This window comes from Homo sapiens, chromosome 16 (assembly GCF_000001405.40).
Source record: "Homo sapiens chromosome 16, GRCh38.p14 Primary Assembly".
NCBI classification, from domain to species: domain Eukaryota; kingdom Metazoa; phylum Chordata; class Mammalia; order Primates; family Hominidae; genus Homo; species Homo sapiens.
Window position 1 is genome coordinate 680,053 of NC_000016.10, and position 11,824 is coordinate 691,876.

The following is an 11,824-nucleotide window of genomic DNA, read 5'->3' on the forward strand; positions in this document are numbered from 1 at the left end:
GCTGCCGGGGGAGGGGTCTCTGCGCGTTGGGACAGGGGCGGAACCCCAGGTGGTCGGGACAGGCTGTTGCGGGAGCGCGCCCTCAGCGAAGCAAGTGAGGCATCTCACTGGGAAAGTCGAATGTGTGTGGCGGCCGCCGCCGAGGCGGGTTCCGAAGAGACCTCAGCAGGGCAGGCCAGGGCCTACGCGAACGCCCACCCTTAAGAGCGCGGGGACAGGGAACTGGAGCGTTCCTCCCAGCCCCCGACGTCGCGGGCCCAGTGTCCCCGTCCAGGCTGGTTGGGCGCACGCGCGGCCCCACTCGCCCCCACGCGTGCGTCCCCGCTGGTCCCGCCCCCGGCCGGAAGTTCCGGCGGCGGAGCTGGGCCGGGCCCGAGCGGATCGCGGGCTCGGGCTGCGGGGCTCCGGCTGCGGGCGCTGGGCCGCGAGGCGCGGAGCTTGGGAGCGGAGCCCAGGCCGTGCCGCGCGGCGCCATGAAGGGCAAGGAGGAGAAGGAGGGCGGCGCACGGCTGGGCGCTGGCGGCGGAAGCCCCGAGAAGAGCCCGAGCGCGCAGGAGCTCAAGGAGCAGGGCAATCGTCTGTTCGTGGGCCGAAAGTACCCGGAGGCGGCGGCCTGCTACGGCCGCGCGATCGTGAGTGCGCCCGCGCGGGGAGGGCGGCGGCGGTGGCACCGGGGAGGGCCGGGCCCGGGCCCGGCCGGCCCCACCGAGGGTCTGGCTCCTCTTCGGGGCGTGTCCTCGGCTCCCAAAGCCCAGCCGTGGTTCTCGAGCCCAGCGCCGGGTGCCGGAGAACGAGGGTGCGATGCTGGATGGAGGCCGGCCGGGTGGGGGGAGGGCAGGGGCCCTCGACCCTTGAGGACCCCAGGTCCTAAGCCCGGACTCTCCAAAGATTTGGAAAACTTTACAAAACCAAGTGGAATCAAGCGGATAGGCTCAGCCAGTACTCCACTGTGCACAGATCCTTGGACCCAGGGGCTTTGACAACTGAGAAACCTAGTTTCTTGATTCTAGCCAGAGCGCAGAAGCTGGGACGGGCCGTGGGTCAGAGTGGGCACGCTGAGCCTACGCCCTCATGCGGCTGGCCCGGCCTTGGTCCCTAGACCCGGAACCCGCTGGTGGCCGTGTATTACACCAACCGGGCCTTGTGCTACCTGAAGATGCAGCAGCACGAGCAGGCCCTGGCCGACTGCCGGCGCGCCCTGGAGCTGGACGGGCAGTCTGTGAAGGCGCACTTCTTCCTGGGGCAGTGCCAGCTGGAGATGGAGAGCTATGATGAGGCCATCGCCAATCTGCAGCGAGGTTGGCTGACAAGCTGCCCGGTTGTGGGGCCTCTGGGGCCAGGCGGGTGGACTGGCCAGAGAGTGACGTGAAGCCCCCGTTCCCCAGCTTACAGCCTGGCCAAGGAGCAGCGGCTGAACTTCGGGGACGACATCCCCAGCGCTCTTCGAATCGCGAAGAAGAAGCGCTGGAACAGCATTGAGGAGCGGCGCATCCACCAGGAGAGCGAGCTGCACTCCTACCTCTCCAGGCTCATTGCCGCGGAGCGTGAGAGGTGGGACCCTCACCCCAGGCCGCCCTGTCTTGGGATAATTCTGAATCACCGACTCCCGACACAAGCGTTTATCGAAGGCTTTACTGGCAAGCAGGAAATGTGGGGAAGTGTGGATGTTAGCTCTGAGATTGGGGTGTGGTCAGACATCTGGCCAGGTCCATCTCTGACCGGCTCCTGGTCAACCCCCAGGGAGCTGGAAGAGTGCCAGCGAAACCACGAGGGTGATGAGGACGACAGCCACGTCCGGGCCCAGCAGGCCTGCATTGAGGCCAAGCACGTGAGGGTGCCCCCCACCCACATGTGGGTCTGTGTGTGTGCACGTGGCGTGGGAGCATCCCCGCCTTGTGTTGGGTCTGTGCCCCATGGAGGAGGGAGGTGGGGTGTCTCCCCCAAGCACAGCACTCAACTCTTCACAGGACAAGTACATGGCGGACATGGACGAGCTTTTTTCTCAGGTGGATGAGAAGAGGAAGGTGAGTGTGTGTCGCTTGCTGCCGATGGCTGGCAGGTGCTCGTGCAGTGCCCCTTTTCAGCCTCTGACCGTGTGCCCCTGTGCCACAGAAGCGAGACATCCCCGACTACCTGTGTGGCAAGATCAGCTTTGAGCTGATGCGGGAGCCGTGCATCACGCCCAGTGGCATCACCTACGACCGCAAGGACATCGAGGAGCACCTGCAGGTGAGGCCTGCGGCTGGGGGAGCAGGGCCAGTGGCATGGTCCTGGGCCCCATGACTGCCCTCTGCCCTTCTTGTCACTGCAGCGTGTGGGTCATTTTGACCCCGTGACCCGGAGCCCCCTGACCCAGGAACAGCTCATCCCCAACTTGGCTATGAAGGAGGTTATTGACGCATTCATCTCTGAGAATGGCTGGGTGGAGGACTACTGAGGTTCCCTGCCCTACCTGGCGTCCTGGTCCAGGGGAGCCCTGGGCAGAAGCCCCCGGCCCCTATACATAGTTTATGTTCCTGGCCACCCCGACCGCTTCCCCCAAGTTCTGCTGTTGGACTCTGGACTGTTTCCCCTCTCAGCATCGCTTTTGCTGGGCCGTGATCGTCCCCCTTTGTGGGCTGGAAAAGCAGGTGAGGGTGGGCTGGGCTGAGGCCATTGCCGCCACTATCTGTGTAATAAAATCCGTGAGCACGAGGTGGGACGTGCTGGTGTGTGACCGGCAGTCCTGCCAGCTGTTTTGGCTAGCCGAGGAAGGTGGAGATGAAGACGCTGGTGTCAAGGTTGAGCGTAGCATGCCACCAGCGGTCGGGGAAGTACAGCACCTGGTGGAGGAAGGGGGTGCAGCAGAGATTAGCTGCGGGCCTCTAGCCTGGCCTGGCCCTCTCCTGCCAGCCACTGACCTCACCAGCCCGGATGGTACACTCCAGGGGCCGTGCAGACGGTGGCAGGGCTGGGTATGTGTCCCGGAGCCAGGCCAGCGTGGTCTTGTTGGGGTGGAACTCTGGCGTCTTCTCAGGTGGGTAAAGGAACCAGCGCTGGGGGCATGAGCAGCAGTGTCACCCTTGCCCGTTTTGGTCAGCGAGTCCCAAGCCTCAACCCCCACCCCGTGCTGACCTTACGACCGTAGATCACTTCTGAGTACCCGGGTCCATGCCAGTGGAAGGGCACCCCCGAGCCAGCTCCTGTGGGGTTATGAGCACCTGGTGACCAACCCATTTTGTACTCACCGACAGAAGCCTCAGTCCTTCCCAGTCCCAAGAAGCACCCACCTGCGATTCCAAAGCTGTAAGCTGGAGCGGTTCCCAGCAGGCCAAATGGGGGTGGGGAGTAGTGCCGAAAGAGAGAGGCCCACTCGGTGAAGTTGTTGTCCCCGAAGAAGTACAGGGTGTCTGCCAACAGAGACGGCGGGGACAGGGATCCTGGCACCTGGAGACTCCAAGCGTCCCCACCCCCTACCGCCGCCTAGGGCTGCCTCACCATTGCCCAGGGAGGTGGGGTCCTGGGGGTGCAGCAGCTGCTCCACATACTCCTGGAAGGGCAAGTCCACTGCAGGAAAGAGACGGGTCAGGACCGTCTGGTCCAGCCGCCCCGGTGTTGGCAAATGGGCGGGCCCCAGGGGTGAGGCCGCGTACCTTTGTGGTAGGAGTAGGTGTTGGCGGTGCTCAGCCGGACCACTCTGTCCCCAAACGAAGCCAGCAACCTGTCGCGGGAGCACAGGGCCCGGAACCTCTGCGGGGGCGGGGAGGGGACTTAGTGGCCGGGCCCAGCACGGGCGAGAGTGGCCGGGGACGGACGGGCACGCGCTCACCGAGTTGTCCGTGAGTCCCTGCAGGATGACGGGCCTGACGAAGGCGTACCTGGAAAGAAGGGCAGAGTCGCGGCCAGGCCGGACCGCCAGCCTCGCCGCCCCAGCCCCACGCGTGCGCGCGAGGTCAGGGGAAGGCGGCCTTGGGCGGTCGGGGCAGACGGGCCGGTGAACAGGACGCGACCTCCGCGATCAGGGGCGCACGTACTGCTGCACGAACTCCGCGTAGGTGAGGTCGGCCCGACGCTCCACCGTGCAGCGCTCCTCCTCCGCCACGGCCCCCGGCCCGCCCGGGCGCCTGCGGGCACAGCTGGGTCAGCCCGCGCCCCGCCCGCCGCACGTGACCCCACCGCCCGGCCCCTCCCGGGCCGCTCACCACCCGCCGTCGCCCTCCGCCCCGGAGCCGGGTAGAGCCACAGCCGCCAGCGCCCAGAGCGCGAGCAACCGCGACGCCGGCGCCATGAGCCTGCCGCCCTCAGGCAGCCGCGCTGCACGCCGGGAACCTTGGGCCCATCCGCCAGCCATTGGCCGGCAGCTTCGTCGTCGTGGCAACGGCCGGGAACCGGGACGGACCCCGGAAGTGACCTCCTTTGGCCCGCCCCGGAAGAGGCCTCTACGGGAGGCACTGGGAAGGCCGCCCCGAGAGCGACTATGGGCGCCGCCGGTTACCATGGCGACAACCCCGCCGAAAGCCCCCGCCCGCCAGCTGCCCCGCGGGCCTACGGCGAGCCCGCCGCGCTATGGGGTGACACGCAGTGCCGACAGCGGCTCTACTTCCTTTATTGAGGTCTCAAGTTCCAGCCTCCGCCCGTCTCGGGCACAAGACCAGGCGGGGTTCTGCACGCGGCCGCCCGGGCAAGCCCAGCAGATGCCCCGTCAGGAGTACTCGCAGAGGTGGCCGCAGCCTGCGGGACAGTGGGAGCTGCCTTCCAGCCACTTCATGATGTGCTGCAGGTGGCCGCCGTGGCTGCAGCCCTGGCACCACACGAAGAGACCCTTGACTACGTGGTGGCAGACGGCACACATGCTGGCGCAGCGGTGGCACCTGGGGGCGGGCGGGAGGGAGGGTGCCTCAGCGGGGGCTGCTGCGCTGCCTGCAGGCCCCTGCCCCACCTCCCGACCCCACTGCCCCACCTGTCGCAGACCCAGCCCCGGCTGCTCATGGGCCGCTTGCAGTGGCTGCAGTTGACGTGCAGGGTGGTGGAGGCCTGGTTGAGGCAGCTGACGGCGCGGCTGGTGCTCAGCTTGACCACCTCGTTGGACACGTTCCAGAGGCGGAAGCGCTGCAGCAGGTCGATGTAGGAAGTGTACCAGTGCTCCTGGGGGAGGGAGCGCCCGGCAGTCAGGATCTGGGTGCCAGGGGCGGCGCTGCAGGGGGGAGGCCCCGCCCACCACACACCTGGGTCTGCTCGTCGATGTCCTTGCGCACCCGTTCACCCAGGACGATGAGCACAGACACAGCCATCTGCACGTCGCCCTGCTCAGCGTAGAAGTGCAGCATGTCGCGCACCAGCACGCCGAAGAAGTCGGGCGGCAGGCGGCTGTCGTAGAGCGCGTGTGAGACAGACAGGAGCGAGAAGGAGGAGTCCACGGGGGCCAGGGAGGCCACATCCGCCTCGCTGCCGCTCACGTGCGGGGAGTCGGCCTTGTCCTGCAGGTGCTCGGGCCCGGGAGGCGTGTCCACGATCTCGTGGCGCAGCGGAAAGGCCTCCTGCGGCAGCACGCACTCAGGGTCCTCGGCTGGAAGGCAGGGACCAGCGGAGGCTCTGAGTCTGTCCTCCATCCGCCTCTGAACCCCACCCTGCCCGGACCCCCACTCACGGTGCGCGTGTTCCGGATCCAGCAGGTACAGCTCGTCCTCCTCACCTTCCACGTCACCCAGCAGGTAGTCGGCAGGTACGTCGCTGCCCTCGGTTTCCTCGTTATCTGCCCGACAATGGGGCGGGCATTCAGGGTCGTCTGGGACACCCCCACCCCTCTCCCATCAGCACCCCTACCCACCCCAGCCTACCCTCATTGGTGATGAGTGTGGCCGAGGAGTCGAGCAGAACTGTGTCGCTCCGTGCATCTCCTTTGCTGCGGTCCAGCCGCGTCTCACTGCCCAACCCTGGGGCCATATCCTTCAGGTTGAAACTGGGGGCAGGAAGGGCCCATGGGTGGGTGGGCTCGAGCAGCCCCAGCCCCTGGGGAGAGCTGCCCCCGGCATCTACCTGTTCATGAGCGGGAGGCCACAGGAGCCACCCTTGCCCACACTGTGGTTGAGGTTTGCAGTGGGCACTAGGCCAGGGCTGCAGTAGATGATCCGCAGCATGGTCCACGTTTGCGCCACCTAGGGGCGGGCACTGGTCACTTGTGGGCGTCCTGGACACCCAGCACCCCATGCAGGTCCCTCTCTGCCTGGACAGTCACAAGCCCTCAGCATTCAGCTGCCCTCAGTACCCAATGTCCAGGCCCACCCCAGGTAGGAAAGCTGAGGCTCATGGGAAAGACAAAAACCCCGGTCCCCGCCCTACAGCAGCACAGAGGAAAACAGAATTGGGCAGTGGGGACTTGCGGGGCAGCTAGAGATGGGCATGGGAACGGCAGCTCACGGCTCCACCGCTGCTGGTGCCTGGAGAGCTCCAGAAGCAAGGGGGGAAGAACAGAGAGCTTGAGCCACACGACTCCCGAGACCCCCGCCCCTCAGAGGACAGTCCTGGGTCTGGCCCACCCTGGAGCCCTGGCCCTGTGTGATCCTGACACCCTCAGCTACCAAGGCAAGGCCTGTTGGTGCGACTGGCTGGAGTCCATTGCGGAGCTTGAGGTGGGGTGAGCGCAGCTGACGGAGGAACCAGCCCCTGCCCTGAGGTCGTGGCCCAGGGACCCCCAGGCTCAGCACCTACCTACCTGGTTGCGGCCAAGCTCTCGAGCCACCTTTGCGTTGTGGTCACAGAGCTCGGCCAGTGGCCGGCCAGCCAGCGCATAACGCTCAGCTGTGTCCACAAACCAGCGCATGCCGCCGCCACCTGGCTCCGTCTCAAAGACACTGAGGGCACTGGAGGCGAGGCCTGCGAAGGGCTCGGCAGGGTCCAGCTTGCGCTTAAAGAAGATGGGGTGGCGCCGGTCGCCAGTGTAGGGCTTGCGCCCCGACTCGGCAGCCACGAGGCTCTCCTTGGCGGCGAAGGCCAGGTCCCCGAAGAGGCCGTAGCAGAGGCCCTCAGGGTTGGCGCGCTCGACGGGCTGGCTGGCGTCGCGGAACAGGTGCTGGCACAGCGAGCTGTCCTTGGAGCCAGACAGCAGGAAGGAGGGGTCGTGGGGGTGGCGCCAGGCAATTCCCGTGGTGACGTCTCGGTGTTCCTCAAACATGGCAGCTGGCACGAAGGGCCGGCGCACGTCCCAAACATAGATGTTGTGGTCCACCATCATGGAGCACGTGGCCAGGTGGTGGCGGCACTCTGGCCGCCACTTCACACGGGCCACCGAGGCGATGGTCTGCACACAGTGCATCTCCTTGGCACGGTGCGTGGTCATGTCCCAGACCTTCACCATCTTGTCGCGCCCTCCAGTGGCCAACCAGCCCCTGTGGGAAGAAGGTCCACCCAAACCCTCAGTGGCCTTTCCTGCAGAGAGGGGACCCCCCCGCTCTGCTGCTCCGGACTGTCTCATGGATCTGAGGCAGTGAGAGCTTACTGTCAACCTACTGCCCCTGCACCCCCATGCCACACCTGTCCTCGGGGTGCCAGTCGCAGCAGAAGACGGGTCCGTTGTGGGCTGTGAACATCCTCTCGCACCGGTCGGGACGCCGGATGTCCCAGAGCTGCACATTGCCGTTCTCAAAGGTGGAGGCGAAGGTGAAGTAGTCCCGGATACTGAACTGCACGTCCCGCACGCTCTCCGACTGGCCTGCAGGCAGGAGGTCGATGCAGGGGAAGTGACGGGGCTGGCCCATGAGGTGCGCCCTCAGAACAGCTGTGGCATGGTGTCACACACCTGCCTGTGGCCCAGAACAGAGGCCCAGAGGGTAGAGTGGACATCCCCAAGATCTGCCCAAGGAAGCAGCCACACAGAGTCGCCACAAGAGCCTGGGCCCGGGAGCAGGACACCACGTGATTTGTAACACATACTCCCGGGCGTCATTTGCCGTAGATTCTGCATCCTGCATCGGTCCATGAGCAAAGCTGTGGTGCAGCCTCAGGATGCGGCAGCTGAGCACTGGGAGAATAGGAACGCACCCAGCCATCGCCCACTCCCGTGGCCCTGTGGGAGGCCCAAGGAGGTGCTGAGGAGGGTGCCCCAGCCTTGGCCCAGTCCCTTCACCTGGAGCTGGAACTGCCTGGTCAGCCCCAAAGGACTGGATGACTCAGGGCCCAGGTCCACCCTAGGGGACCACCACACCAAGAAACTTCAAGGGCGGTACCCAACCTTCCTCCAGGGCCCTGCAGGGGAGGCAGCTCAGGATCTGTCTTTTTAGACGGAGTCTCCCTCTGTCACCCAGGCTGGAGTGCAAGTGGCACGATCTGGGCTCACTGCAACCTCCACCTCCCGGGTTCAAGCAATTCTCCTGCCCCAACCTCCCAAGTAGCTAGGATTACAGGCGCGTGCCACTGCGCCCAGCTAATTTTTTGTTTTGTATTTTTAGTGGATATGGGGTTTCCCTGTGTTAGCCAGGAGGGTCTCAATCTCCTGACCTCGTGATCGGCCTGCCTCGGCCTCCCAAAGTGCTGGGATTACAGGCATGAGCCACCGCGCCCTGCCAGGATCTGTCTTAAGTGGCCTGAAAATTCTCTGAGGCCCCTGAGGGCTCCGCCTTGTGCTTCATACCTAGTCTCCTCCAGGTGAACAAGGGAGAGCTGGCTCAGGGCAGCCATCGGGGAGCTGGGCCTGTTAGGAAAAGGGCCCCAGGGCACTGGACAGCAAACCCACCTCCTCTGCCTCCCTGGGCCAGGAAACCTGGAAGTCCTGGCAGACCTCCTGCTATGAGGCAGCCTCTGTAGCTCCGACATGAGGGAAGGGAGTCAGTGGCTCTCTGCTCACCACCCAGGCTGGCTGGGAGACCGCTGGGGCTCTGCCCTCCCTCACCCCACACCTAGCCTCAATTTCTGCTGGTCTCATCTCTTGCCTCTTCCCACTTGACTGCCCTGGCTCACATGCCGTCCAGCCCAACTTGCCCCATCCCTCCCCTGCCGATTCCCTTTCCCCCTGAGGAAGCCCTCTGGGAGTGATCCTGAGGGCCTCTGATGCACGGAGCCCTTTTCCGCCTGCATGGACAGGCTGGGCACCGGCAGAGACGCCCACCTGCCCTGACCTGCCTCTGTGGCCTCACCCGAGAAGGTGCTGACAGAGTCCTTTCTGCGGAGGTCAAAGCACTTCATGAAGCCATCCTGGGAGCCACTGAGCAGCACGTGGGCTTCGGTGGGGTGGAAGCAGACTTTGTTTACCGTGCGCTTGTGTTCTGTGAACAGCTGGTCCTGCTTGTTGCGGGATGGCCGGCCCAGGTTCCACGTGACCACCACGCCATTGGTGGCTGCTGTGGCCAGCAGGTTCTCATCCATCTGGTGCCAGACCACGTCAGCACAGCTCAGGTTAAGCGAAGGCTTGCGCCCCACACGCAGGTTCAGCTTTTCCACGAACTGTTCCTCCTCGATGGCATAGATCTTGAAGATGCTACGGCCTGCCACGACCACCTGGGCTGCGTCGCGGCACACACTGATGGCATTGGCGGGAGCATCCAGGTGGCAGTGCATGGTGCGGCCTGTCAGCACGCTGCCACCCAGGGCTGTGGTCACACGGGACATCTTCTCCATGGCTGCACAGGTGATGAGGTCAGGGGTCAGGAGGTCAGTGAGGTGGGCTGGCCTGGTCAGCCTGGGTGGGTCATCAGTTCAGACCTTCCACCCAGGTTGGGACCCCAGAACTGCTTGGTCCCGGGCTGGTCAGTCTTAGTGAGCCAATCCAGGGCTGTCTATCAGCCAATCAGCCTGACAGGCAAGCTCAAATTCACTGGAGTCTGTCAGTCCAGCCCATCACCCTGGCTGAGCGGTGAGGGGACTTCCTAGCTTCCCTTAGGCCTGTCAGTTTCATGTCTGACTTCCACGGAAGACTCTAGCTGGACATTCCCGGCCCAGGCCACCTCTCGGTACCCCCATCAGCCAGATCTGGGCAGTCACTAAACGCTCGGTCAGTCAATCCCAGCAGGGGAGCGAGGAGACTCCCGCCGTCCACACTGTCAGCCCTGAGGGCGGCGGGGCTCTAGGGAGGAACAAAAGAGGGGAGGGAACAGAGGGCTAGAGGGGCCCGGGGACTCAGGCGATAGACGCGGGAAGGGCCCAGAGGGACGTCAAGGACCGAGCTACTTAAGGAGCTCGAGGTGTCTGGCGGGACCGGAGGCAGGAGAGAAGCCGGCGACCCCGGAGTACAGGGTTCCTGGGAGCGGCGCAGTGGCGCGGGGGAGCGGACGCTGCGGGACGAGAACCAGAGGGCCCGGGGCAGCCCTTCTCCCCCGCGCGAACCCCAATCTTTTACTAAAAGCGCACGGTTGTCCGGAACCGCCGCGCCGGAAGCCGCTGTCTTTCCCGTCCCTCGCCGGAAGTGGTCCTCTTCTTACCCATCCCTCTCAGGAAGTGGGCACAAACTCTCGCCCGACACCACGAAAGTTCCGGGTCAGGGAGCTGCGTTGGCAGAGGCCAGGAGGGGCCCGGGATTGGGGTCTGCGGGCCGCCCTGGGCGTTGCCATTGCGCTGCGGTGCTGTGCTTGTGTGATTGGTTTATTTATTTATTTATTTAAACGGAGTCTCGCTCTGTCGCCCAGGCTGGAGTACAGTGGCGCGACCTTGGCTCATTGCAACCTCCACCTCCCAGGTTCAAGCGATTCTCCCGCCTCAGCCTCCCAAGTAGCTGGCACTACAGGCGCCCGCCACCACGCCCGGCTAATTTGGCTAATTTTGTATTTTTGGTAGACACGGGGTTTCACCGTGTTGGCCAGGCTGGTCTTAAAACTACTGAACTCAAGCGATCCTCTGGCGTCAGCCTCCTGAAGTGCTGGGAATGCAGGTGTGAGCCACCGCGCCTGGCCTGTTTTTTAAGTCTCAATTTCAGTATTTTAATGCCATCACCTATTTTAATCCCCAGGTCCATCATGACATCTGGTCATCCCTAGACAAGTTCCGAGTGCCCCCAGTCTTCCCCTCCTTCCTCACTCCTCGACCTCGGGAGCAGCCTCCCAACGGCTTTCCTGGGTCCGTCTTTCCCCTTTGATCAGAAACCCGCACAGAAGTCAGGCACCAGGTCTTCTGCCTGAGGCCTCTGGCAGCTCCCACTATGCTGTGAATGAACCCCAACTCCTGGCCTCCGCCTTCCCCTGCCCACCTCCAGCCATGGCAGCCTCCACCCCCATTCCCAGCCCACCAAGCCCTTTCCTGCCTCAGGGACATTGTACGTGCGTGCGATGCCTCCTCCACAGAGCGGACCTCCCTGACCACTGCCCTAATGGGCTTCTCCATCACTGTGGCCTCCACGGCACTTGTCACCACCCATTCGTTTGTTTACTGGTTGTTGTCGGTCACATACGAGTGTGAATTCCACCAAGGCAGGAATCACATTCTGGCTCAATCCCCACCGAATGCCCAGTGCCTGACACACCTGTTCAACCAGTTGCTCTCGTTCTTTTTTTTAAAAAACTTTTTGAGACGGAGTTTCGCTCTTGTTGCCCAGGCTGGAGTGCAATGGTGCAATCTTGGCTCACCGCAACCTCCGCCTCCTGGGTTCAAGCGATTCTCCTGCCTCAGCTTCCCGAGTAGCTGGGATTACAGGCATGGGCCACCATACTGGGCTAATTTTGTATTTTTAGTAGAGATGGAGTTTTTCCATGTTGGTCAGGCTGGTCTCGAACTCCCAACCTCAGGTGATCCACTCGCCTTGGCCTCCCAAAGTGCTAGGATTACAGGTGTGAGCCACCGCACCCGGTCTCTTTAAAATTTTTTGAGACGGAGTTTTGCTCTTTCGCCCAGGTTGGAGTGAGGTGGCGCAGTCTCGGCTCATAGC

General features: G+C 64.0%; 3 protein-coding genes across 12 annotated transcripts, besides 8 other annotated features; 1 reads left to right on the forward strand and 2 right to left on the reverse strand.

Annotated features, from left to right (window-relative positions):
* Window positions 227-436: a silencer, noted in NCBI's record as "silent region_6940". NCBI's record gives its function as "represses an Ori minimal core promoter by ATAC-STARR-seq in GM12878 lymphoblastoid cells {active_cell/tissue: GM12878}" and the evidence as "EXISTENCE:reporter gene assay evidence [ECO:0000049][PMID:35858748]".
* Window positions 358-2,749, forward strand: STUB1 (STIP1 homology and U-box containing protein 1). Of its 2 annotated transcripts, none has more exons than NM_001293197.2 (7): window positions 358-632; window positions 1,011-1,298; window positions 1,386-1,551; window positions 1,741-1,828; window positions 1,968-2,024; window positions 2,113-2,229; window positions 2,312-2,749. In NM_001293197.2, the coding sequence occupies exons 2-7, from the start codon at window positions 1,157-1,159 to the stop codon at window positions 2,435-2,437; spliced, it is 696 nt and encodes a 231-aa protein (NP_001280126.1). In that variant the 5' UTR covers window positions 358-632; window positions 1,011-1,156; the 3' UTR covers window positions 2,438-2,749. The 2 variants fall into 2 exon arrangements, with proteins under 2 accessions (NP_001280126.1, NP_005852.2); NM_005861.4 differs by having other exon boundaries at window positions 1,100-1,298.
* Window positions 1,117-1,166: an enhancer, noted in NCBI's record as "active region_10211". NCBI's record gives its function as "activates an Ori minimal core promoter by ATAC-STARR-seq in GM12878 lymphoblastoid cells {active_cell/tissue: GM12878}" and the evidence as "EXISTENCE:reporter gene assay evidence [ECO:0000049][PMID:35858748]".
* Window positions 1,117-1,724: a biological region, named in NCBI's record as "H3K27ac-H3K4me1 hESC enhancer GRCh37_chr16:731189-731776".
* Window positions 1,137-1,724: an enhancer, noted in NCBI's record as "H3K27ac-H3K4me1 hESC enhancer chr16:731189-731776 (GRCh37/hg19 assembly coordinates)". NCBI's record gives its function as "activates a minimal SCP1, AML or CMV promoter by ChIP-STARR-seq in naive and primed H9 embryonic stem cells {active_cell/tissue: H9 hESC(naive and primed)}" and the evidence as "EXISTENCE:reporter gene assay evidence [ECO:0000049][PMID:30033119]".
* JMJD8 (jumonji domain containing 8) lies at window positions 1,618-4,282 on the reverse strand. Of its 8 annotated transcripts, none has more exons than NM_001323918.3 (9): window positions 4,182-4,282; window positions 4,014-4,103; window positions 3,809-3,857; window positions 3,633-3,729; window positions 3,478-3,546; window positions 3,270-3,389; window positions 3,115-3,182; window positions 2,906-3,035; window positions 1,618-2,822 (listed from the first exon to the last, which is right to left on the reverse strand). In NM_001323918.3, the coding sequence occupies exons 1-9, from the start codon at window positions 4,265-4,267 to the stop codon at window positions 2,776-2,778; spliced, it is 756 nt and encodes a 251-aa protein (NP_001310847.2). In that variant the 5' UTR covers window positions 4,268-4,282; the 3' UTR covers window positions 1,618-2,775. The 8 variants fall into 8 exon arrangements, 5 of the variants coding, with proteins under 5 accessions (NP_001310847.2, NP_001005920.3, NP_001310851.2 ...); NM_001005920.4 differs by having other exon boundaries at window positions 2,901-3,035; NR_136650.3 differs by having other exon boundaries at window positions 3,270-3,546.
* Window positions 1,725-2,312: an enhancer, noted in NCBI's record as "H3K27ac-H3K4me1 hESC enhancer chr16:731777-732364 (GRCh37/hg19 assembly coordinates)". NCBI's record gives its function as "activates a minimal SCP1, AML or CMV promoter by ChIP-STARR-seq in primed H9 embryonic stem cells {active_cell/tissue: H9 hESC(primed)}" and the evidence as "EXISTENCE:reporter gene assay evidence [ECO:0000049][PMID:30033119]".
* Window positions 3,952-4,261: a silencer, noted in NCBI's record as "silent region_6941". NCBI's record gives its function as "represses an Ori minimal core promoter by ATAC-STARR-seq in GM12878 lymphoblastoid cells {active_cell/tissue: GM12878}" and the evidence as "EXISTENCE:reporter gene assay evidence [ECO:0000049][PMID:35858748]".
* WDR24 (WD repeat domain 24) lies at window positions 4,570-10,346 on the reverse strand. 2 transcript variants are annotated; one of them, NM_032259.4, is made up of 9 exons: window positions 9,108-10,346; window positions 7,510-7,687; window positions 6,692-7,364; window positions 6,016-6,134; window positions 5,817-5,938; window positions 5,627-5,731; window positions 5,205-5,545; window positions 4,940-5,124; window positions 4,570-4,850 (listed from the first exon to the last, which is right to left on the reverse strand). In NM_032259.4, the coding sequence occupies exons 1-9, from the start codon at window positions 9,586-9,588 to the stop codon at window positions 4,682-4,684; spliced, it is 2,373 nt and encodes a 790-aa protein (NP_115635.1). In that variant the 5' UTR covers window positions 9,589-10,346; the 3' UTR covers window positions 4,570-4,681. The 2 variants fall into 2 exon arrangements, with proteins under 2 accessions (NP_115635.1, XP_047290723.1); XM_047434767.1 differs by lacking the exon at window positions 9,108-10,346 and adding an exon at window positions 7,775-9,036.
* Window positions 4,662-4,711: an enhancer, noted in NCBI's record as "active region_10212". NCBI's record gives its function as "activates an Ori minimal core promoter by ATAC-STARR-seq in GM12878 lymphoblastoid cells {active_cell/tissue: GM12878}" and the evidence as "EXISTENCE:reporter gene assay evidence [ECO:0000049][PMID:35858748]".
* Window positions 10,227-10,774: an enhancer, noted in NCBI's record as "H3K27ac hESC enhancer chr16:740279-740826 (GRCh37/hg19 assembly coordinates)". NCBI's record gives its function as "activates a minimal SCP1, AML or CMV promoter by ChIP-STARR-seq in naive H9 embryonic stem cells {active_cell/tissue: H9 hESC(naive)}" and the evidence as "EXISTENCE:reporter gene assay evidence [ECO:0000049][PMID:30033119]".

Bases quoted from the DNA above. Each gene is read 5' to 3' on its own strand.
- STUB1 (NM_005861.4), top strand. From the start codon at position 474: ATGAAGGGCAAGGAGGAGAAGGAGGGCGGCGCACGGCTGGGCGCTGGC. The intron at 633-1,099 runs GTGAGTGCGCCC...CTTGGTCCCTAG, and splicing joins CCTGCTACGGCCGCGCGATC to ACCCGGAACCCGCTGGTGGC. The intron at 1,552-1,740 runs GTGGGACCCTCA...GTCAACCCCCAG, and splicing joins ATTGCCGCGGAGCGTGAGAG to GGAGCTGGAAGAGTGCCAGC.
- WDR24 (NM_032259.4), bottom strand. From the start codon at position 9,588: ATGGAGAAGATGTCCCGTGTGACCACAGCCCTGGGTGGCAGCGTGCTG. The intron at 7,365-7,509 runs GTGTGGCATGGG...TTCTTCCCACAG, and splicing joins GACTGGCACCCCGAGGACAG to GGGCTGGTTGGCCACTGGAG. The intron at 6,135-6,691 runs GTAGGTAGGTGC...GCCCGCCCCTAG, and splicing joins GAGAGCTTGGCCGCAACCAG to GTGGCGCAAACGTGGACCAT.
- JMJD8 (NM_001005920.4), bottom strand. From the start codon at position 4,267: ATGGCGCCGGCGTCGCGGTTGCTCGCGCTCTGGGCGCTGGCGGCTGTG. The intron at 3,858-4,013 runs GTACGTGCGCCC...CCTTCTTTCCAG, and splicing joins TACGCGGAGTTCGTGCAGCA to GTACGCCTTCGTCAGGCCCG. The intron at 3,390-3,477 runs GTGAGGCAGCCC...CTCTGTTGGCAG, and splicing joins CCCCACCTCCCTGGGCAATG to ACACCCTGTACTTCTTCGGG.